Source organism: Homo sapiens, chromosome 4 (assembly GCF_000001405.40).
Source record: "Homo sapiens chromosome 4, GRCh38.p14 Primary Assembly".
NCBI classification, from domain to species: Eukaryota; Metazoa; Chordata; class Mammalia; order Primates; family Hominidae; genus Homo; species Homo sapiens.
This window is the reverse complement of record NC_000004.12, coordinates 53,566,548-53,589,630: the sequence shown is the minus strand read 5'-3', so window position 1 is coordinate 53,589,630 and position 23,083 is coordinate 53,566,548. Positions and strand designations below refer to the sequence as shown.

Here is a 23,083-nt window from a genome sequence, read left to right as displayed (position 1 = left end):
GTAAGATGGGAGATAATAATCCCCATGATCTAATGTGGTTGTGAGAAGTAAATGAGGTAGCTAATATATGTTAGCATCCAGCGACCAATGCCTGGTGTTAACTGGTGCTAAACTGAGGCTAGGTTCTTCCTTTGGAAGGAATTTTCCTAGGTTGCTTGGAGGAGAGAGTCTGACTCTATCAAGATAAAGATCATATGTGGTTGCAGTTGTAGGAACCTTGATAGTTCTTGTTATTGTAATTAATTGTAGGTAATTAACTGCAATGTTAACAGTTTGGAAAAAGAAAACAGGCAGGAGAATTCTTAAACAATGTCATCAAACAAGGTGGGCAGATTTGTCTCCGCTAGCCTCACAGGCAAAGCTTTTAGGAGTTGCTGGCTGGCTGTGATTTCTTCCTTTTCCCACTCTAAGGCTCTCATCCTGCAACAGACCCACAAAATGTGATTCTCCATGGGCCTTTCGGGGGAAATGTCCAGTTGTCATTGCTGTAATCTGACTTGGCAGAGAGTTCTTTTTGCTGTCAGTCGTGCTATCTCCAGGGCAGACTGGGTGTTTGGTCTCCTCCAGTCTCACAGATAAACACCCTTCTCCCTAACCAGAGTGAGGGTTCATGCCGAGCCTCTGGCAGGAGGAAGCCCCTGGTTTGGAGCCTCATTGTACCATAGAAGGAGGTTCATGACCCATTGGATGTGATTGGCCTTGTCATGCAATACCCTGTGCCCTTGGGTGACCTTGAGTCATTGCATATGAGCAGTTGTGTGCCCAGGGCCCTGGTCACTTCTCTGGGTCTCGCCCTTCAGGGATACCACAAATTTTCATCATTCAAGAGTAAGGGATTAGTGGATTGAGGTCAGTGGGTTCTACTGTTCTACTAGCTTGCCTACGGAGCCCTAAGGGAGAACCTCAACCCCCCTGCATGTCAGTTTCCTTAGCTACATTTTTCCCCAAAGGACGCTAAAATGGTGTACTTCACAGGCCCCCTCCATCCTTACAACTGAAGCAAGGTGGGCTGCATGTCCAGGTGGGTAGGTCAGACTGACTGGGGGGACTGGGTAGTGCCTCACTAGAAAATATCAATCTTATTCATTCCATTCTAGGTGGGGCAATGCTACTGCTTTAGAATAGTGGTCTGGTCTCTGGCATCAGGCTGCCTACCTGGGTTTTTGAAACCCAGATCTACCATGTGCTACCTGTGTGACCTGGGACAGATTCTTTAAGCTGCTCTCATCAGCTGTGTAATAGGGTTATCATGAAGATGAAATGGGTTGAAATGTGTAAAGTGCTTGGAATGGTACCTGCCACAGTGTTACTTGTAAATATTGAAAGGAAGGCATAGTTGATAGTATCAGACAGGTCTGTGTATCAGACCCAGTTCTACCATGTAGTTGCTAGCCTAAATAAGTTCCTTAATATTTCTTTGCTTTGGTTTCATCAGCTGGGAAATGAAATACTTCCCAGACTCAGAGCTGTTGGGAGGAATAATTGAAATAATTACATGGAAAGTGCCTGGCATATTTTAAATGTTCAGTGAGTGTTAACTATTGTTATATTATTTTAAACATTTTTATATTGCTTACAGTTAGACATCTTAGGTCATGCTACTATCTGGATGTAATAATGATGGAAACGGTAGTACGTTGAGGGCCAAAGACTGAGCAAAAAAAGATTTCCCAAAAGGCTCCCAAAGGCAGAGGAGGAAAACCTGTTAACAAAGATTGTGTTGTTTCTCTTGGAGTTCCAGGGTAGAGTGGCTGCCAGTGGAAATGCCTGGTCTTTCATAAACCTGTGGGGAGTGGGCTTCTGTGATGTGAGTAAACAGCGGGTCTTCCTGGAGCGGTGATTTCCTGGCTTCACCTGTCACTGTCTCCTTGTCTCCAAGACCTTGGCTAAGACTTCCTTTCTATATTTGAATTCCTCACTTAAAGTGGAGAAAATAGGGTCTGGTGGGATCTTGACTACTTTTTTTTTCCTTTCACTCTCTTGACCAGGATACGATCTTGACTACTCGAAATGCCGTCTGTAAGATGCTGGCAAGGCGAGGACACATAAGAGATGCTCTAAAGTGTGTCCTCCTCATTGCCTCAGTATTCATGGACTTCCCAGTAGCATACAACTATTCCTAATATTTATGTACTGACATTACATAGACTCTCTTTTATGTGGTTGGCAAATTTATTGTCCTCTGACAATGCCTCCAAAGTATCAAAGGCTTTTCAAAACTGTTTGGAAGGAAGACTGTGTCACTGTTCCTGGGTTAATATGATTTAATCATTAACTATCCCCAAAGAATAGGGTTGACATGAAAACCATAAAAAAACCATAAAATGTGGAAAACTACACTGAGCTGAAATCAGGAACAGAAAACGTTTGTTGTCTCCCGTAAACTTTCTGTGTTTACCCTTTCCTCCATTTTGTTCTGTGTGACATGAGGACACCACAGTGACCTATTTGGTTAGTTACACAGATACACACTTCAGATCAGTAAGAGGAAGAACTTTCTATGAATTAGAGTTGTCCGAAAATGTAGTAGGTTGCCTTTTGGGATACTGAGTTTCTTGTCACTGAAGGTGATCATTTTTTTTGGCATATTTAGTGCATGGTGTATGTTTGCTGGATGAGTGAATGAATTAATAAATGAATGACAAAGAGGATTTGTGTTTTTCAGCTGCACATACACTCATCTGTAAAGTGAAGATTACCTTAATGATCTCATAGGATTATTTTAGATTAAATGAAAAAACATGTTGAATACCCAGCACAGTATCTTGCATATTGCAAACTGCTCATTAAATAGTAATAATCATTATTTTTTATTTTATATTCTAAAAAGAATTTCTGCCTCAGGTAGAAGGTAGACAAGATGATCCACCAATTTGAGATTTGCAGTTTTTACAATCATCTGTTTACTCTTGTTCTCTTTGCCTTTGCCCTTCTTCACCTATCCATCTGAAAGAACTTCTCTCTGCTCTAGAAAGCCAAGTTCCTTGGCATGGTAGGCTGACTAGTACACTTCTAACAGTGGGAGCAAGTTCTATCCCAATTAACCGGGGACATTTTTGGTAACATCACTAATTTGTGACTTAGAATATGTGGACTTAGACTCCATGATTTTTTTCAAGTGACTCTTATTTGCTTCTTGTGTTTGACGCATTTGTCACAGGCACACAAAAGACTTCACCAGCAGCAGAGTCGAAACTCTCCAAGAATTTTCTTTAATAGCTTCTTGGCACAATAGCACATGCATGATGGGGAGGTCTAAATATGTCATTGCTATCTGCTGAGATGATTTGCATAACTTGCTTATGACTGCTTTTGACAGTCACGTGGCCTTTTCTGAATAGAGCGCAGCATGTTTAGGCTCCTGCATACTCGCATGAATACATGAGTCACCATGTGTTTTCAGACTCCTCATTAAATATGATTGTCTGACTTATATTACATCTTCCACAACATACACACACTCAGCCATTCTATCTGTGGCCTTTTTTTTTTCCCTTGAGGCCCTTTGCAAATTTAGTCTAACAGTCATCTCTGAAAGCATCTGTATTCTAACTTATTAATGAATTAAAGGGAAATTAATACATTTTCTAATAGGGTAGAGTTGCTAAATATGTAGCAATCTATGTGGCTGCTGTCTCCAAATATTTTTCCCTATTTCTAAGCCCTATAGAGAAGTGTTGGAAAGGATCGTTGGGAGCATTCACCCCATTCCTGCAGGAATACCCCTGGAAATATGTAACCCCTGTATTTCTAGGGCTGCCATAACAAATACCCATAAACTTGGTGGCTTAAAACAACTCCCATTTATTGTCTCACAGTTCTGGAGGCTGGAAGTTTGAAATAAAGGTAACAGCAGGGCCACACTCCTCTGAAGGCTCCAGGAGAGGGTCTTCTCTGGTCTCTTTCAGTTTCTAGTAGCTCTAGACATTCCTTAGCTTGTGGGTGCATAATTCCAATCTCTGCCTCTCTCCTCACATCACCTTCTCCTCTGCGTTTGTGTCTTCTCCTCCTGTCTTATAAGTGTCTAAGGACATCTGTCATTGAATTTAGGACCCACTCAGATAATCCAGAATGATCTCATCTCAAGATCCTAAACCTCATGACACCTTCTTAGATCGTTTTCCTGTAAGGTCATAGTCACAGGTTCTGGGGTTAAGACATGGATATATCTTTTGCAGGGACCCTCATTCTACCCACTGTATCCCCAGCTGACAACCATATACACAAGCTCTTCCAACTACTTATGGAGAGATTTCTTGTCCACTTGGAGGCTGAAATACTGAGCAAAGTACAGGCAAGGAGAGTCAGAATTGGCAGCCATCATCACTACCTTCATTTATTTCTATGTTCATGCCACAGTAGTAAGTGTTTTGTACTCTAAAGGCCTACTGAGTTCTTCCAGTCAACAGTGTGAGATATCTAATAAGACAAAACAGTAAAAACCATCATAGATTGCATTAGTAAACACATAGTATCCTGGTTAAGGAAGTGATCACTCCACTGAATCCTGAGTCCTCCAAACCAAAACAGGATAACTTCACTTCCAGGTACGGGTTTTCAAAGGGACCTTAACAAACTAGAAGGCATCCTGGGTAGATCTTTTACCACCATCTGGACTACCCAGGAAGACAATTGGAAGAACCAAAGACAAAGATAAAAACAAGGGAGGAACCACCCAATGCTGTCTTTAATTTGGGGATGTGTGTGTCATGTTTTGAGTAAGCAAATGTGATATACGTTACACTGAAAGGCAGAACAAGGCCAAAGGTCAAAGTAACGTGGGAAGCACTAGCTATTTGAAAAACTGACCAGTTCTCCATCAGTGGAAGTGTTTCAGATAGAAGCTGGTAGGTGCTGTAGGGATCTTGAAAAGAGGATTTTTCTACTTGGTGAAAATCTAAGTTCCTTAACCGATCAAAATCCTATGACTTCTAAATAAATCATTTTAAAACCTCACATAGAGGTCGTCATATGGGTCACATCAAGAGATCACTACTCTTCCTTGATTGACACATTTGCTCAGGTTCTTCTCACCTGGATTACTTCCCACTTGTCCAGATCGCATTTATCATTCGTGATCCTTCCCAAGGACCGTCTATCCCATTAACTTTCCTTGATTGTTCTGGGCCACATGCACTCTCTATTGTCTCTCCTCCAAAGCTTGTCCATGGCTCCTGTCTTGGGGCATTATACACATTGCCATGTATTATGTATTCTCTTGCAGTGTTTTTACATTTTTTTTCCTGTGGATAAACTCTGTTTTCATAATTAGACTTAAATGTATTGGAGATGAAATGGAATTCCCTACAGGAACTCCCACAGAGTTTAAGGCCAATCCCAGGCATGGATTAGGCAAAGCCATGACCCCTGTAGAATTGAAACACAGCCGGAAAATGTTGAGAATTCAAATATCTTTCCTCATCTTGTCCTTCCCTCTGTAAAACTTGGTTATCTGTTTTAAAAAAAACAACAACAACAGAAAAAAAACCATACACACATAAACACTTTTTGAAATTGTTTTTCAGCTTTGGATGAAAGAATGTCAGTTTGCTTCTTTTCCATACCCCTCTGATATCAGCTCTTCCCGGGATCCTTGGTGACTCCTAGCATGAACAGAGCTCCGAATCAATGCAAAAATACTCTGCCTTCATTTGTCGTTGTTGTTGTTGTTGTTGTTGTTGTTGTTGTTGTTGTTGTTTGCAGGGGGTCAGTTCTATTTCATCATGTTTATGGACTAGGAAATGGAAGGACATCTTTTCTGTTACAGAGTTTTTACAAACAAACCCAAGTATGGCACCCCAGGGGAAAGGTGGTAAAATCTCGTCAAGAGAAGGAACACTCTTCTCTAACCTGCTTATGAAAGGCATTCCCTGACTTCTAAAACTTGCGTCTAATTGTCTAGCCACTTGGGACTCTTTTCGCTTAACCACTTCCCTTGTTTTTCCCACATTCTGAACATCTATGTCCTCCTTTATTGACTCCAGATGTATTACATGGTCTCCCTTTAGTTCAATTCTCCTGTAATTTCTTGACATGTTTCTGACCTCTTTAAAGACCATTTAAAAGGGTTTTTTTTTTCTGTATTTTTGGGTGTTTGCAATACTATACAGGCTAATGTCATTCACAGATTCATTAATGAGTGGCTTAGTCCCTCTTCGAGATCATTGATTTAGAAATTAAGCAGAAGCAGAGCTAACCACGACCTTGGCGGCAGCCTGTAAGCACCTGCCTCCCCACTCTTTCCTCTGCAGTGTATTTGCCCCCCATCATGCACACACAGACACATCACCCCAAACTTCCAACCCAGGTTCTTAGTTTGAAGATAATTTTATTCCATGTGTGACTATTTTTATCCAGGTCATTAATGCTCCTAATTCTTCCCTATTACATGAGAGTCTGTAAGCTAAGGAATAGCCCACAGAACACTGCCCATCCTCTGTGTATGTTCATTTACAATTGGCCTTTATAAAATTGCCATAAGAGTTTGATGGCACATTATCGATCCTGTCAAGTCTTACTAAATTTATCTAAAATTTAAAATGTAATTGTACATTTACTTTGTTTAATACAGAAAGATAGACTTTGCCCTAACTTTGGCAATTATTTTCCCCCCAGTAACCTGATTTAGGAGTTACAGCTAGGGCCAGGGCAGTAGTTAGGCAGACATGCCTGCTGGGTGAATTATTTTAGAAAGAGAGATGAGGCCACCATTTGAAGAAGTGGCAGGCGCTGGTCTGTTTGGTTCCTCTGTGGGTATATTTCTGCTGTTCGTGGTCCAGGATGGTGTTTCTGACTGTGATGGTGATTTTTGCACTGAGCTGTCACCCCAGTGACCAGTTTGAAACTAAGCAACCATTCTGCCACATGGAGCTTAATCCAAATTTTAAAGCATCATCAACAATTAAAAAAAAAACAAAAAAACAAAAAATCTTAAGCTCATTTTCTTGAAGCTAAAAGTAACCTCAGAAATAATCTGATATAGAGTTAGCCCTTGTGTGTTTGAAACATGCTGTAAAACAAGAGGTTGGCTGAAGGGAGTAAAATATTTTGAATAACTTTTAAATGTGCAAAAATTCAAAGCAAACATGAATACAGTAGGGCAGAGCCTCACACTGTTTGTAAAATGTCACATTCCATGTGGTGTCCTTGCTGGAGAGAACTCTTTATTACTTGACTGGGCTCGCTTATGTACTCATGAAACAAAGCTCTTACAGGATCCGGTCGTTTTGTGATCTTTTGTGAGACCTGGCCCTAGGTTACATTCTTTGCTTCTTTGAAGCGAGTCATTCCTCTTGCCTTGTGAACCCTTCAGCAAACTGTTCACCTGTGTGTCTCTGTCAAGTGTAACAATCAGCTGAAGCAACAATCAATTCTGACCTTGGGTGAAGTTTAGTGGCACACCTGGGAAGAGTTTGTAATTCTACTGTTTTGTCATTGTAGCTGGCTGGCCACCAGGTCAGGTAAAAGGAAAATATCAAGATCCAAAAAAGTAGTTGGTAGCAGAGCTGCATCCAAACCACAGTTTTGATATTCTTAGGTTTCTAAAATTAACAGTGACAAGGTCATAATTAAGGTGAGGCAAGTGAGACACTCACCTTCAGGTGCAAAATTTAAGGTGCAGAAAAATTCAGTAATCCTAATGTGAATGCAATATTTAAAAAAATGCAAAATGAATGCAAACAATCCATGATGAACAAAAGATCAAAATGTATTCAAATAAAGACAAGATCAGTAAGCTAAAGTTATTTAGAAATTGTTTAAGATCATCACTTAGTTAAGAGAAATGATCAAACATGGCAATTTCCTCAATCAAAAACAAGATGCGTGATATGGTTTGGCTGCGTCCCCACCCAAATCTCATCTTGTATTGTAGCTTCCATAATCCCCACATGTTGTGGGAGGGACGCAAGGGGAGGTAATTGAATCATGGGGGCGGGTTTTTCCCATGCTATTCTTGCGATAGTGAGTAAGTCTCATGAGATATGTTGGTTTTATAAAGGGCGGTTCCCCTGCACATGTTCTCTCGCCTGCCACCATGTTAGACATGTTTTTGCTCCTCCTTCACCTTCCGCCATGATTGTGAGGCTTCCTCAGTCATATGGAACTGTGAGTCCATTAAACCTCTTTTTCTTTATAAATCACCCAGTCTTGGGTAATTTCTTCATAGCAGTATGAAAATGGACTAATACAGTGAGCAAAGAGGAAGGTTTTTGGAAAAAATGATGAGTGTGTTTCCTTTAAAGCCAGGAAAACAAAACTATTTCTAAAATTGTTTGGAGAATAAATAAAATATTTAAACTTAAATTGATGTTTTAAGTTTTGATATACCTACTCTTCATGTTTTCCACATTTTTCAACTTCCTTAATGATCTGAAAAAAATTAGCCATTAAAAAATAAAAATGTACATATCAGGACATACATTTTTCCTTTGACCTCAGGCTGCAACTGATAAGGGTACAACTGTCATGGTCCCGGGTGACCAGTATACCTCCTTGGATACTTTCCTTTTTCAAGTATTTGTGCATCTTTTGGGGGTGGGGTGGGGACACGGAGCACCTGGAGCTGCAGGCTTCATTTCCTCCCATTGCCTCTCCATCAGTTGCTTGTGGCCTGTCACTGTTTAAACTTTTTCATTTATAGTGAATGTCAGTGGAAGTTCTTCAGTATTTTTGTACTTCTGGGTTGGAAAAATTATGTCTGATTTATCATTTGTTTAAATGGTTTTCATTTCCCTTTTCTTGTGTTATTTACTATGTTGGTACATTTTGGAATGAGATTTATCAAAGTAAAGGAACGTTTACAAACAAATAAGAGAGCCCCACATTCCTCAGATAGCAATGGTTCTAAGGATTGGATATACATTATGAGTTCCAGTACTGAACTATTTAGCCACTGAAGACTATCTTCTGTTTATATAAATCCACCTAATGCCACTACATATTTTTGCATTTTCTAAGCTTCATTCATAGCCATTGCTTTTGTTTTTAAAAACTTCTTCATTTCTACCTTTTTACTCGTAAGATATATACCTCCTCCACCACCTCCAGGAATTGTTTTCTCCAGGCCTCAGGGCAGTGTCTCCTCCTCTACCCACTCCAGTAACAGCAGTAGTGTGTGCTATTGCTGCAAGAAAGTGGATGCAGTTTCAGGCTGTCTGGCAGTCACATCAAGGGAACAGATTCCCTCACTTCACTCTGGCATGGAGTTTTGGAGTTCATTCTACCCATACATTATAGGAGAGACACTGATAAATTGGGGAGCTTGCAGAAGAGATTTGGATGTGAAAGAAATACTGACTGAACCCGAGGCTACTCGCCCTGGGGGAGAACATGGGATCTGTCTTCAAATAATTAAAGGACTTAAAAAGTTAGGCATATTCTAAAGAGCTCCTAGGGTAACGGTGGCACTTGTGGAAAGGGCAGGTGAGGTATAGGAAAGGAAAATTTTGCTCATTATGTGGACTTTTTCCTCTATTAATCAAAGCTATCCAAAGGTAGAATCATCTATTTTATAAAGTAATAAAGGCCTTTCTCATCTGTCAGGCTTCCTTTTGACTCAGAGTCTGTGGCTATAGTGTTTCATCTTTGACAAGGTTAAAGTGCCAATGCAGGACACACCGCCATGTGACTATAAAGAAGGATTCTTTTTCATAATATGGAATCCTCCTCCTATTACTAGAAAACTGTGACTCAGGCAACAATTTCAGAGATGCTTTAGGGTCAAATCTTGTCCTTTCAATGGGAAGAACACGTAAAATTATCGTTGCCACATGCCAAATGTTATATTTATCCAATTGTCCTTCTAGTGGAGTATGTGGTTTATTCTGGCAACTACATCTGATAACCATTTTCTATAAAGCCAGGGTGCATTGAAAGGAGAATTAGCAGGACAACAGCACACCAAGGATCCCATTGTTCTGATGAGTTACCTGATGCAGAAATGTTTCCACTTCCAAACAGGCTGTATTCCAAAGGCTGTTCTTAAATCTGTCTAGTGCGTTGACAGTAGACACACGATCTCGAATGACCCTCTTGGTTGCAGGCGGCACCAACTGGCTTTTGCTCTGGTATGTGTCTTTATTGTCATCCAGGAAGTTCAAAATTTGAGAATTAGGCAGAGAAGCTTCTATACAGGTTTTAGGCTAGACAATAAAATCATAGGAAAGGAAGCAGGGATTAGGACCAAAAAGAGATGGGGGTTTTTATTTTTCTGGGTGCTTTTCAGCACTAGATTGGGGGTTTTGGCTCCATATATCTCTAAAAATCACCTCTGGTTTCTGTCCTATTCCAGATCAGAAAGAAGGAAAGGGTGATTCCTAAGGCACCACAGGGTTATACTGAAAAAGTGTAAGATTTCCACCGTACCCATCATACACGTACGTAAGGAGGGAATCAATCCACTCCACTACTCTTTCTTACTCTAAACTGCCAAAACACTGTATCACAGCTCTGTCTACTTACTTCAGTTAGGGCCAGAGATGCTGATGGCTGATACATTCAGTAAATTTATATGGACACAAAGCTGACAGGCCCTCTCTCTTACTTTTGGTGGGAGAAACTAGCTTACCTTTTCAGGCTTAATGATTTTTGATAATTTCTTCTCCATTCAGCAGCAAGGCTCTGATATGTCTGAAAACGTGATACATCATACATGTTTATAAGCTATACACTGCAAATAAGAACCACCAGGGAGATATTAATCATATTTTTTAAGTCTACCTGGTTCTTTCCCTTAGAGCCAAAACTGCTTGTTCAGTCAATTATCTCATAATCTGTTTCTATTCATGTAGGCTTTATTTAGTCTAAAATAAAGTCAGAAAATATATACAGCAGTGTTTACATTAACATAATATTAAGAATTTGGTTTATCCACATGGGTAAGTGCCAGGGAATTCAAATTGCTCTCAGAAAGAAAAAGAAAGGAAGGGAAAAGATAAAAGAAAATTGGAGGTGGAGCTAAATCTGCCATTTTTGCTTACTCCATTCCATTCATTCTGCCTCAGCACTCAGTGAAATCAAGGAATCTTTTTCTTCAGAGATCTTTGACATATCTACAGTCATGGACCCCATAACGACATGTTGGTCAATGACAGACTCCACATATGATGGTGATCCCATAAGATTAAAATACTGTTTTTACTGTACCTTTTCTATGTTTAGATATATAAATACTTACCATTGTGTTACAGTTGCCTACAGTATTTGGTACAGTTACATGCTGTACAGGTTTGCAGCGTAAGAGCCATAGACTACACATCTATATGGTGTATAGTCAGCTATACCGTGAAGGTGTGTGTAAGTGCACTCTATGATGTTCACCCAAGGACCAAATCGCCTAACAATGCACCTCTCAGAACATATCCCCATCATTAAGCAACACATGATTCTACTTGCAATAGAGCCTGAAGAGATTTAAAGCTTTCTAATTTCCTGGGTCTCTTGTATTTAATGAGTTACATTATTGGGATTCTGACTAGCCATAATCAAGAAAGATTCTGGGAGACAAAGTAGGGAAGTAGGAGCAGAAACTTGGAGTCAGACAGCCCCTGCCTGTTTTGTTTCTTTTTTTGGTGTGATTGACAAGTTATTTACCCTCTGCATTTCAGTTTCCTATGCCATTTGTGAGGATTGAATAACATAATATACTATAATATAAGGCCCCTAGCACAGTGCCTGGCGCATGGTAAATATTCAAAGAACTGTTAGATGAAAAAAGGATTTTTCCCAAACATCAAATCATCAAAAACAAAACAAAACATAAAAACCTCACTTGATTAGCACAGAATCATAGAACTCTATTTCTGGAAGGGACTGTTGTACACGATCTAGTCTGGTGGTTTGCAAGTTTTTTTTAAAAGCTAGGATTCTTTGACCAGAATATTAAGAGGAACATGATGCATTAAGGAAATAATGGCAGGCGGGGTGTGGTGGCTCACATCTGTAACCCTAGAACTTTGGGAGGCTAAGATGGGAGGATTGCTTGAGGCCAGGAGTTCAAGACCAGCCTGGTCAACATAGCATGACCCCATCTTTAAAAAATAATAATAATAGTAATGGCAGAGCTGGAGGAGTGGGCAAAGCTCCCCCTTGGTTTCCTCCTATCTCCACTCCCTTGGAAGATCTGGAAGTATCTGATGCCTTCCACAGCACAGTTTGAAAAACGAAAATCTGGTCCAATGCCACCATTTCACCAACAAGGGAATGGCCCAGAAACATGCAGTTGTATTTTCAGTGGTATGGCCGCACTGCAGCCTGAATTTATATTCCCCTACAGCATCATGAGAAAGAATAACCAAGACTGTAGCATGTGGGACTATATGGCAGAACACTACAGAGAAGCTTTAAAAGACCTAGAGCTTTAGTTCATCCTGTGTGAACCATTTTTCCCCTATAGATTGTAGATGATAATCTTTTGCATGGCCCATTTCCATTTTCATGTTTGTTTTTCAACTGTTTCTGATGTCACTTAAAGTATTTCCTGTGAGATTCCAGTACTTTCTAACAGCCTTGAGGACAATCAGCAGCTGCATAGATACAGATTTCCTTGAAACAACTTTACCCCCTCCTGCACCCTCTATCTTTGCCTTCTGTGGTCCTATCTGATGCTAAATAAAATGCTACAATTTCTAAATGTTTTTATATTAAGGGCATTTGCCAGCAACCTCTTCACTAGAGTGTCCTCTCAGGCATATTACTGCAGTACAGAAATGTAAACAACAAAGCTGACTCAATGAAAGCCTGAAGTCAATGTATTTTCTTTTTGAGATAAGGCTATGTTTGCACAAACAACCTCCGACTTTATTTGGAAAAGAAAAGAGATATAATACAGTTTATGACTGCTGGGCTGTTTCCAAATGTGGCTAATTTCCTGTTAGGTTATTCGTGTGTCTTTATGTTCTTGTGGAAAGCATAAGGTCTTTTAATTTACTTTTGGAAAAGAGGAAAGTTGAGTTGGGGCTGAGGGAAGAGGCAGGATTCTTTTTTTTTTAATTTATTTTTATTATTTATTTTATAATGTTTCCCCTCCCCTTAGCCCCACTAGAATGTCAGCTCTGTGAAGTCAGGGATTTAAGGCAGAAGAATGAAAATGCCCAACCTAAAATACAAGATCTACAAAAGCACCTGGATGAAGAGCCTGCCTCATGGGAAGGGCAGGGCTGTCCTGGGAAGAGTCAGCTGCACTTTGGCACCATCTGAGGTGCCTGTCCAAGCCTGACCTGAATAGGACTGGTCATGTGAGGGGTCAGTCCTGCAGGCTGCCCTCACACCTCTTCTCCAGATCTGCCATCTCCTTTAGGACCAGGGCCACGCTGTACCGCAGCTCCTGGAACTTGGCTATGGGGACCTCGAAGCGGTATGCTAACCCATCTGAAAGCTTCAGCTGCATCAGGACCCTCGGCTGCAGGAAGCGAGCCAGGGCACTGGTGGAGATTGTCACATCCACCCACCACTGAAAGTCAGCAACATGGGGCAGCCAGGCCCCCTGCTGCTGGGCCACAGAATCAAGGAGGGGCCGCTGGCTCCCAAATACCACGCTGGCCAAGTCCCCGACCAGGTCTTGGGGGATGCAGAGTTCCTGGAGCTGGTCCCTGAAGGTGTTGGGCTTCAGGCTGGTGGGGGGAAGATGGAGGGCCTGCTGGAGCAGCGTGTGCATGCCTGCCAGTAGGGCACCCAGCCACTCCTGCGGCAGGTTGGTGCTGACCCCAAGACACTGCACAGCCTCTCGGCAGTCCTCCCCTTGCAGGCTGCTGACCACAAACTTCAGCAACTTTCTAAACATGCTCCTGTTTAGGTCCCCTAGTAGCTGGTCCATTGCTGCCACCTCTGGAGGAAGCTGGGCCCCCAAGAAACTCACTCGGCCACTGTGACTACCACCAGGATGATGCAATACAGAGCTGTGGCCCCCACAGCAGACACTGCTGCTGCTTCCTCCTTGATTAGCCAGCCCAGGGGGTGGGTCCCAGATGCAGATACCTGGTGCCAGTGATCCCCAGCCAATGCAGCCAAAAGCGGGCCTGGTCCCAAGGTGGGATTCTTAATCACCATGAAAGTTGACCCAGAGCCCTAGTTTGCACTGGGCTCCTACTTGTGTGTGTGTCCATGTCACCTCTGGAATGGGGACTCCCTGAGGGCAGAAGCATATCCTTTAAGTCTCTCTCAAAGGTCTGCATATCAAACTCATGACCTAGCTCAGAGTTGGCGCTTGAAAACTATTTATTGACTTTCTACGCAAGAGACTTCCTAGATGCAAAGCAAGCATGTTGAAAAACTTGATTATTGTTGACTCCTATCTATGTTAAAGGAAAATATGTATTGTGGTAGTATTCTACTGTTTAAAAGAAATATCTAGGCTGGGCATGGGGGCTCACACCTGTAATCCCAGCACTTTGGGAGGCCAAAGCAGGTGGATCTCTTGAGGCCAGGAGTTCAAGACCAGCCTGGCCAACATGGCGAAACCCTGTCTCTACTAAAAATACAAAAATTAGCCAGGCATGGTGGCGCGCGCCTGTAATCCCAGCTACTCAGGAAGCTGAGGCAGGAGAATCACTTGCATCTGGGAGGTGGCAGTTGTAGTGAGCAGAGATCATGCCACTGCACTCCAGCCTGGGCAACAGAGCAAGACTCCGTCTAAAAAGAAAAAAAAAAAACGAAATATCTAATGGAATAAAAGAGTCCTATTAGAACAAAGCTTAAAGGCCCCTTATAGGAGCTCTAGCTTTCAGTTTCTGGGCCAACAGAGCTAGACTAGAGACAATGAATTCAGTAACAAATACATGTAAGAATTATTGAGCACTTAGTATGTGGTAGATGCAAATCTAAGAGCTTTATATATCATATCTCATTTCATCCTCACAAGAGTTCTATGAAGTAGCCTGTGATTATCCCCATTTTACAGATGTGAAAACAGAGTCTGAAATCATTGGCCCATAGTGGTGGGATTTGAACCCAGGCAAAGTGTCCAGAGCCCACTTAGCCACTAACGACCAACTGAGTGAAATGCATACAGGAGACAACAGTGCATTTATCATAGTGAAAATATGAAAGGCTCAACAGCACTATTTTCTCTCAGATGACTTAGTTGAAAGCTCTGATCTCCTACTTTTTCTGAGTTTGGGAGAAAGATGGGGAAGAAAGATAAGAGAAAGCCATCACAGTGTTAACTGTTTTTTGTTTTTTTTTTCTTGTCCTGATCTGACAAGAATTTTACAAATCACTGGTCTATTTAATTTTCTTAACAAATTACATTTTTTAGAGTTACTTTAGGCATTTCCCAGATATTACCCAAATGATTCTTACCACACCAATGTGAGGATGTGAAAGGTGAACATTATTCCCACTGGCATGCGTGGAAAAACAGAGGCACGAGGAGGCCATGGGGCTTGCCCAAGGTCCTGTCAGTCACTCCAGAGTGGACCCTCAACCCTGGCTTTCTGAATCGTAGCTCAATTCCCCATGCATTGGCAGCCCTGTCTCATGTCTACCATAAGCATAAGCCTTTCATGTGCTGGGAAGCAAAGGTGAGCCTTCTTGTTCTTTTTTAGGTGTGTGGATGTCTCCTAGATCTTGACTTGCTCCTGAGGAAATATTGTGTGACTGAGTTTCCTGTTATACTGCTCTCCAATCCATCATGAACCAGCCAGAGTCTGCCAACGATCCTGAACCCCTGTGTGCAGTGTGTGGCCAAGCCCACTCCTTGGAGGAAAACCACTTCTACAGCTATCCAGAGGAAGTGGATGATGACCTCATCTGCCACATCTGCCTGCAGGCTTTGCTGGACCCCCTGGACACTCCGTGTGGACACACCTACTGCACCCTCTGCCTCACCAACTTCCTGGTGGAGAAGGACTTCTGTCCCATGGACCGCAAGCCTCTGGTTCTGCAGCACTGCAAGAAGTCCAGCATCCTGGTCAACAAACTCCTCAACAAGCTACTGGTGACCTGCCCATTCAGGGAGCACTGCACCCAGGTGTTGCAGCGCTGTGACCTCGAGCATCACTTTCAAACCAGGTAGGTCCCCCATCAGCGAGCCGGTAAGTCCCACCCCCAAGCGGGACAGCTGGACCCCTCCACCCCCCAGTCTCCTGAGGGCTTCCAACCAATGAAATGATCCATTCAAAATAAAAAAACAGCTAGGTGTTTATGGTCATGATTCAGTGTGAGGAAATAGCATTTGGTGGAGTTGTGTTGTATGTATGTGTTTATGGGATTTTTTAAAATTCTAATAAAATGTAACATAAAGTTTACCATTTTTAACCACTATGAGTATACAGTTCAGTGGTATTAAGTACTTTCATGTATTGTGCAACTATCACCACCATCCATCTCTAGAAATTTTTCATCTTCCATAATGGAAACTCTATATCCATTAAACACGAATTCCCCATTCCACCTTCCCCCAGCCCCTGGCAGCCACCATTCCACTTTTTGTCTCCATGGATATGACTGCTCTAAGTGCTTCATATCAACGACATCATACAGTATTTGTCCTTTTGCGACCAGCTCATCTCATGTGTGTATGTTTTGAAATGTGAAATATACCAGAGAGGGTGTATGAGCAGATTTCTCTGAGGCTTATGGGCCTCAAAAGGATTTCCTGTTGGGCACTGCTTGCTTTTTCACTTAAGGAAAAAAAGGTGCCCCAGTTTGACCCTTGATTATTAGAATTTCCTCTGTATTGGAATTGACAAGGCACAACTGTCCTTCAAGAAGGTGTGAGGTGTTCTCAATTAAGTTTTAAAAGGAGAAATTTAGGAAACTTTTGTCTTCCAAGCAATTTGTTCTGCTAACTTTGTGGCCAAGTTACTAAGTTGCACGTGCACACACACACCCACACACACACACACCCACACTGGTGGCAGAATTCTGGTGTGATTGCCGCTGCTGATGGCTGACATCACCTGTTCCATCTGGCTGCCTCTCATTTTGTCCACTTACATTGTCATGTTCTTGGACATTGAGAACATTTAAGGTGCTTAATAAAGGGTGAACAATCATACCACAATTATTTTGTAAGAGGAAATTTGGAAGATGTTGTTTATCCTGGTTCCTGTCATGACAAGGGCAAGAGGCAGGTGCAGGTATTTTTTTTAAAGGTCACATACCTTAGGTCATGAATCTGAGCCTTTGTCTTTTGGGACATGCATGGATTCTCTAACATGGAAGTTTGCATCAAAAGCAATGGCCTGGGTGTAATGCTTAGCACATGTTTTCCACGCTCATTATGTCAGTGAATTCATTTTTCTCCCCAAGACGTTCAGCCAGATGCTTCCACCTCAGGTTTTTGGGTTGCAGCTGTTATTGCTGGTGTTTAAACTAGGATGCCCTACCTCCCTCATTCCCCAGAAATAGATGTGGTTAAAGGAGGAGTGGGTAGGGTAGTCTATTTGTGACTTTTGCTGAAAGTTTTGCCCAGGTATGGGAGACGTTGGTGGGAAAGAAGTAGGTCTGGAGTCAAAGGTGAGGTAGATGCCAACAGGAGTTGGCACAGAGCCAGGTTTGAGAGTGGGAGCCACACTGGGCAAGGGGATGAGGGGCATGAGGAGGAGAAAGAGCTCCTCTACCCTCACCACAGTCCCGTGTTGCAATTATACATTTGTGCTGGGGAGCTGTGTTCATTTCTTGTTGCTGCTGTAACAAATCACAAACTTAGTGACTTAAAACAACCCAAATTGCTGGGCGCAGTGGCTCACACCTGTAATCCCAGCATTTTGGGAGGCTGAGGCAGGAGGATCACTTGAGCCCAGGAGCTTGAGACCAGCCTGGACAACATAGCAAGACCCCATCTCTATAAAAAATTTAAAAATTAGCCAGACCTGGTGATGTCTGCCTGCAGTCTTAGTGATTCAGGGGGCTAAGGTGGGAGGATTGCTTGAGCCTGGGAGTTGAGGGTGAAGTGAGCTGTGATGCGCTACTGCACTCCAGCCTAAGTGACAAAGTGAGACTGTCTCAAAAAAAGAAAAAAACAAATTTGTTACCATACAGTTTTGAGGGTCAGAGGTCTAACGTACATCTCGGTGGACTAACATTGAGGTGTCAGCAGGGTAGCATTCCTGTTGGCTTCAGGGGAGAATCCCTTTCCTTGCCTCTTCCAGCTTCTAGTGCTGCCTGTCTTCCTTGGCTCGTGGCCTCCTCTTCCATCTTCAGAGCCAGCCGCATAGCATCTTCCAGGCTCTCTCTGGCCTCTGCTTCCATCCTCACATCTCCTTCTGTGACTCTGAGACTCCTGCCTCCCTCCTATAAGAACTCATGTGATTACCTTGGGCCCACCTGGATAATCCAAGATGGCTCCTTCATCTCAAGATTCTTAATTTACGCGGGGCATGGAGGCTCACACCTGTAATCCCAGCACTTGGGAGGCGGAGGCAGGCAGATCACTTGAGATCAGGAGTTTGAGACCAATTTGGCTAACATAGTGAAACCCTGTCTCTACTAAAAATATAAAAATTAGCTGGGCATGGTGGCCCAAGCCTGTAATCCCAGCTACTTGGGAGGCTGAGGCATGAGAATCACTTGAACCCAGGAGGCAGAGGCTGCCAGTAAGCCAAGATTAGGTGACAGAGCGAGACTCCATCTCAAAAAAAAAAAGATTCTTTTTTTTTTTTTTTAGACGGAGTCTGGCTCTGTCGCCCAGGTTGGAGTGCAGTGGCGCGATCTCTGCTCACCACAAGCTCGGCCTCCCGGGTTCATGCCTTTCTCCTGTCTCAGCCTCCAGAGTAGTTGGGACTACAGGTGCCCACCACCACGCACAGCTAATTTTTTGTGCTTTTAGTAGAGACGGGTTTTCACTGTGTTAGCCAGGATGGTCTCGATCTCCTGACCTCGTGATCCGCCCGCCTCAGCCTCCCAAAGTGCTGGGATTACAGGCGTGAGCCACCACGCCCAGCCAAAAGATTCTTTTTTTTTGAAAATATGCAAGATGTAAATATTTTTCTTTTATTTATTTATTTATTTATTTATTTATTTATTATTATACTTTAAGTTTTAGGGTACATGTGCACATTACGCAGGTTAGTTACATACGTATACATGTGCCATGCTGGTGTGCTGCACCCACTAACTCGTCATTTAGCATTAGGTATATCGCCCAATGCTATCCCTCCCCCCTCCCCCCACCCCACAACAGTCCCCAGAGTGTGATGTTCCCCTTCCTGTGTCCATGTGATCTCATTGTTCAATTCCCACCTATGAGTCAGAATATGCGGTATTTGGTTTTTTGTTCTTGTGATAGTTTACTGAGAATGATGGTTTCCAATTTCATCCATGTCCCTACAAAGGACATGAACTCATCATTTTTTATGGCTACATAGTATTCCATGGTGTATATGTGCCACATTTTCTTAATCCAGTCTATCATTGTTGGACATTTGGGTTGGTTCCAAGTCTTTGCTATTGTGAATAATGCCGCAATAAACATACGTGTGCATGTGTCTTTATAGCAGCATGATTTATAGTCCTTTGGGTATATACCCAGTAATGGGATGGCTGGGTCAAATGGTATTTCTAGTTCTAGATCCCTGAGGAATCGCCACACTGACTTCCACAATGGTTGAACTAGTTTACAGTCCCACCAACAGTGTAAAAGTGTTCGTATTTCTCCACATCCTCTCCACCACCTGTTCTTTCCTGACTTTTCAATGATCGCCATTCTAACTGGTGTGAGATAGTATCTCATTGTGGTTTTGATTTGCATTTCTCTGATGGCCAGTGATGGTGAGCATTTTTTCATGTGTTTTTTGGCTGCATAAATGTCTTCTTTTGAGAAGTGTCTGTTCATGTCCTTCGCCCACTTTTTGATGGGGTTGTTTGTTTTTTTCTTGTAAATTTGTTTGAGTTCATTGTAGATTCTGGATATTAGCCCTTTGTCAGATGAGTAGGTTGCAAAAATTTTCTCCCATTTTGTAGGTTGCCTGTTCACTCTGATGGTAGTTTCTTTTGCTGTGCAGAAGCTCTTTAGTTTAATTAGATCCCATTTCTCAATTTTGTCTTTTGTTGCCATTGCTTTTGGTGTTTTAAACATGAAGTCCTTGCCCATGCCTATGTCCTGAATGGTAATGCCTAGGTTTTCTTCTAGGGTTTTTATGGTTTTAGGTCTAACGTTTAAGTCTTTAATCCATCTTGAATTGATTTTTGTATAAGGTGTAAGGAAGGGATCCAGTTTCAGCTTTCTACATATGGCTAGCCAGTTTTCCCAGCACCATTTATTAAATAGGGAATCCTTTCCCCATTGCTTGTTTTTCTCAGGTTTGTCAAAGATCAGATAGTTGTAGATATGCGGCGTTATTTCTGAGGGCTCTGTTCTGTTCCATTGATCTATATCTCTGTTTTGGTACCAGTACCATGCTGTTTTGGTTACTGTAGCCTTGTAGTATAGTTTGAAGTCAGGTAGTGTGATGCCTCCAGCTTTGTTCCTTTGGCTTAGGATTGACTTGGCAATGGGGGCTCTTTTTTGGTTCCATATGAACTTTAAAGTAGTTTTTTCCAATTCTGTGAAGAAAGGCATTGGTAGCTTGATGGGGATGGCACTGAATCTGTAAATTACCTTGGGCAGTATGGCCATTTTCACGATATTGATTCTTCCTACCCATGAGCATGGAATGTTCTTCCATTTGTTTGTATCCTCTTTTATTTCCTTGAGCAGTGGTTTGTAGTTCTCCTTGAAGAGGTCCTTCACATCCCTTGTAAGATGGATTCCTAGGTATTTTATTCTCTTTGAAGCAATTGTGAATGGGAGTTCACTCATGATTTGGCTCTCTGTTTGTCTGTTATTGGTGTATAAGAATGCTTGTGATTTTTGCACATTGATTTTGTGTCCTGAGACTTTGCTGAAGTCGCTTATCAGCTTAAGGAGATTTTGGGCTGAGACAATGGGGTTTTCTAGATATACAATCATGTCATCTGCAAACAGGGACAATTTGACTTCCTTTTTTCCTAATTGAATACCCTTTATTTCCTTCTCCTGCCTAATTGCCCTGGCCAGAACTTCCAACACTATGTTGAATAGGAGTGGTGAGAGAGGGCATCCCTGTCTTGTGCCCCCCTGTCTTGTGCCCGTTTTCAAAGGGAATGCTTCCAGTTTTTGCCCATTCAGTATGATATTGGCTGTAGGTTTGTCATAGATAGCTCTTATTATTTTGAAATATGTCCCATCAATACCTAATTTATTGAGAGTTTTTAGCATGAAAGGTTGTTGAATTTTATCAAAGGCCTTTTCTGCATCTATTGAGATAATCATGTGGTTTTTGTCTTTGGCTCTGTTTATATGCTGGATTACATTTATTGATTTGCGTATATTGAACCAGCCTTGCATCCCAGGGATGAAGCCCACTTGATCATGGTGGATAAGCTTTTTGATGTGCTGCTGGATTTGGTTTGCCAGTATTTTATTGAGGATTTTTGCATCAATGTTCATCAAGGATATTGGTCTAAAATTCTCTTTTTTGGTTGTGTCTCTGCCCGGCTTTGGTATCAGAATGAAGCTGGCCTCATAAAATGAGTTAGGGAGGATTCCCTCTTTTTCTATCAATTGGAATAGTTTCAGAAGGAATGGTACCAGTTCCTCCTTGTACCTCTGGTAGAATTCGGCTGTGAATCCATCTGGTCCTGGACTCCTTTTGGTTGGTAAGCTACTGATTATTGCCACAATTTCAGATCCTGTTATTGGTCTATTCAGAGATTCAACTTCTTCCTGGTTTAGTCTTGGGAGAGTGTATGTGTCAAGGAATTTATCCATTTCTTCTAGATTTTCTAGTTTATTTGCATAGAGGTGTTTGTAGTATTCTCTGATGGTAGTTTGTATTTCTGTGGGATCGGTGGTGATATCCCCTTTATCATTTTTTATTGCATCTATTTGATTCTTCTCTCTTTTTTTCTTTATTAGTCTTGTTAGCAGTCTATCAATTTTGTTGATCCTTTCAATAAACCAGCTCCTGGATTCATCAATTTTTTGAAGGGTTTTTTGTGTCTCTATTTCCTTCAGTTCTGCTCTGATTTTAGTTATTTCTTGCCTTCTGCTAGCTTTGGAATGTGTTTGCTCTTGCTTTTCTAGTTCTTTTAATTGTGATGTTAGGGTGTCAATTTTAGATCTTTCCTGCTTTCTCTTGTGGGCACTTAGTGCTATAAATTTCCCTCTACACACTGCTTTGCATGCGTCCCAGAGATTCTGGTATGTTGTGTCTTTGTTCTCATTGGTTTCAAAGAACATCTTTATTTCTGCCTTCATTTCGTTATGTACCCAGTAGTCATTCAGGAGCAGGTTGTTCAGTTTCCATGTAGTTGAGTGGTTTTGAGTGAGATTCTTAATCCTGAGTTCTAGTTTGATTGCACTGTGGTCTGAGAGATAGTTTGTTATAATTTCTGTTCTTTTACATTTGCTGAGGAGAGCTTTACTTCCAACTATGTGGTCAATTTTGGAATAGGTGTGGTGTGGTGCTGAAAAAAATGTATATTCTGTTGATTTGGGGTGGAGAGTTCTGTAGATGTCTATTAGGTCCGCTTGGTGCAGAGCTGAGTTCAATTCCTGGGTATCCTTGTTGACTTTCTGTCTCGTTGATCTGTCTAATGTTGACAGTGGGGTGTTAAAGTCTCCCATTATTAATGTGTGGGAGTCTAAGTCTCTTTGCAGGTCACTCAGGACTTGCTTTATGAATCTGGGTGCTCCTGTATTGGATGCATATATATTTAGGATAGTTAGCTCTTCTTGTTGAAATGATCCCTTTACCATTATGTAATGGCCTTGTCTCTTTTGATCTTTGTTGGTTTAAAGTCTGTTTTATCAGAGACTAGGATTGCAACCCCTGCCTTTTTTTGTTTTCCATTTGCTTGGTAGATCTTCCTCCATCCTTTTATTTTGAGCCTATGTGTGTCTCTGCACATGAGATGGGTTTCCTGAATACAGCACACTGATGGGTCTTGACTCTTTATCCAATTTGCCAGTCTGTGTCTTTTAGTTGGAGCATTTAGTCCATTTACATGTAAAGTTAATAGTGTTATGTGTGAATTTGATCCTGTCATTATGATGTTAGCTGGTTATTTTGCTCGTTAGTTGATGCAGTTTCTTCCTAGTCTCGATGGTCTTTACATTTTG

At 41.8% G+C, this 23,083-nt stretch overlaps 1 protein-coding gene and 1 pseudogene across 4 annotated transcripts in view; one reads left to right on the top strand and one right to left on the bottom strand.

Annotated features, from left to right (window-relative positions):
- The window catches only part of LNX1 (ligand of numb-protein X 1), a 193,177-nt gene that overhangs the window by 62,847 nt on the left and 107,247 nt on the right, over positions 1 to 23,083 (top strand). For 3 of the 4 annotated variants that reach the window (XM_005265785.6, NM_001126328.3, XM_047416328.1), the window contains exon 2: positions 15,543 to 16,008. In XM_005265785.6, the coding sequence (XP_005265842.1) occupies positions 15,629 to 16,008 (380 nt within the window). In that variant the 5' untranslated portion in view covers positions 15,543 to 15,628. Of the gene's footprint in view, positions 1 to 10,291; positions 10,377 to 15,542; positions 16,009 to 23,083 lie in introns of all 4 variants that reach the window. The other variant, XM_024454262.2, reaches the window with a different exon arrangement.
- COMMD5P1 (COMMD5 pseudogene 1) lies at positions 13,244 to 13,917 on the bottom strand (annotated as a pseudogene).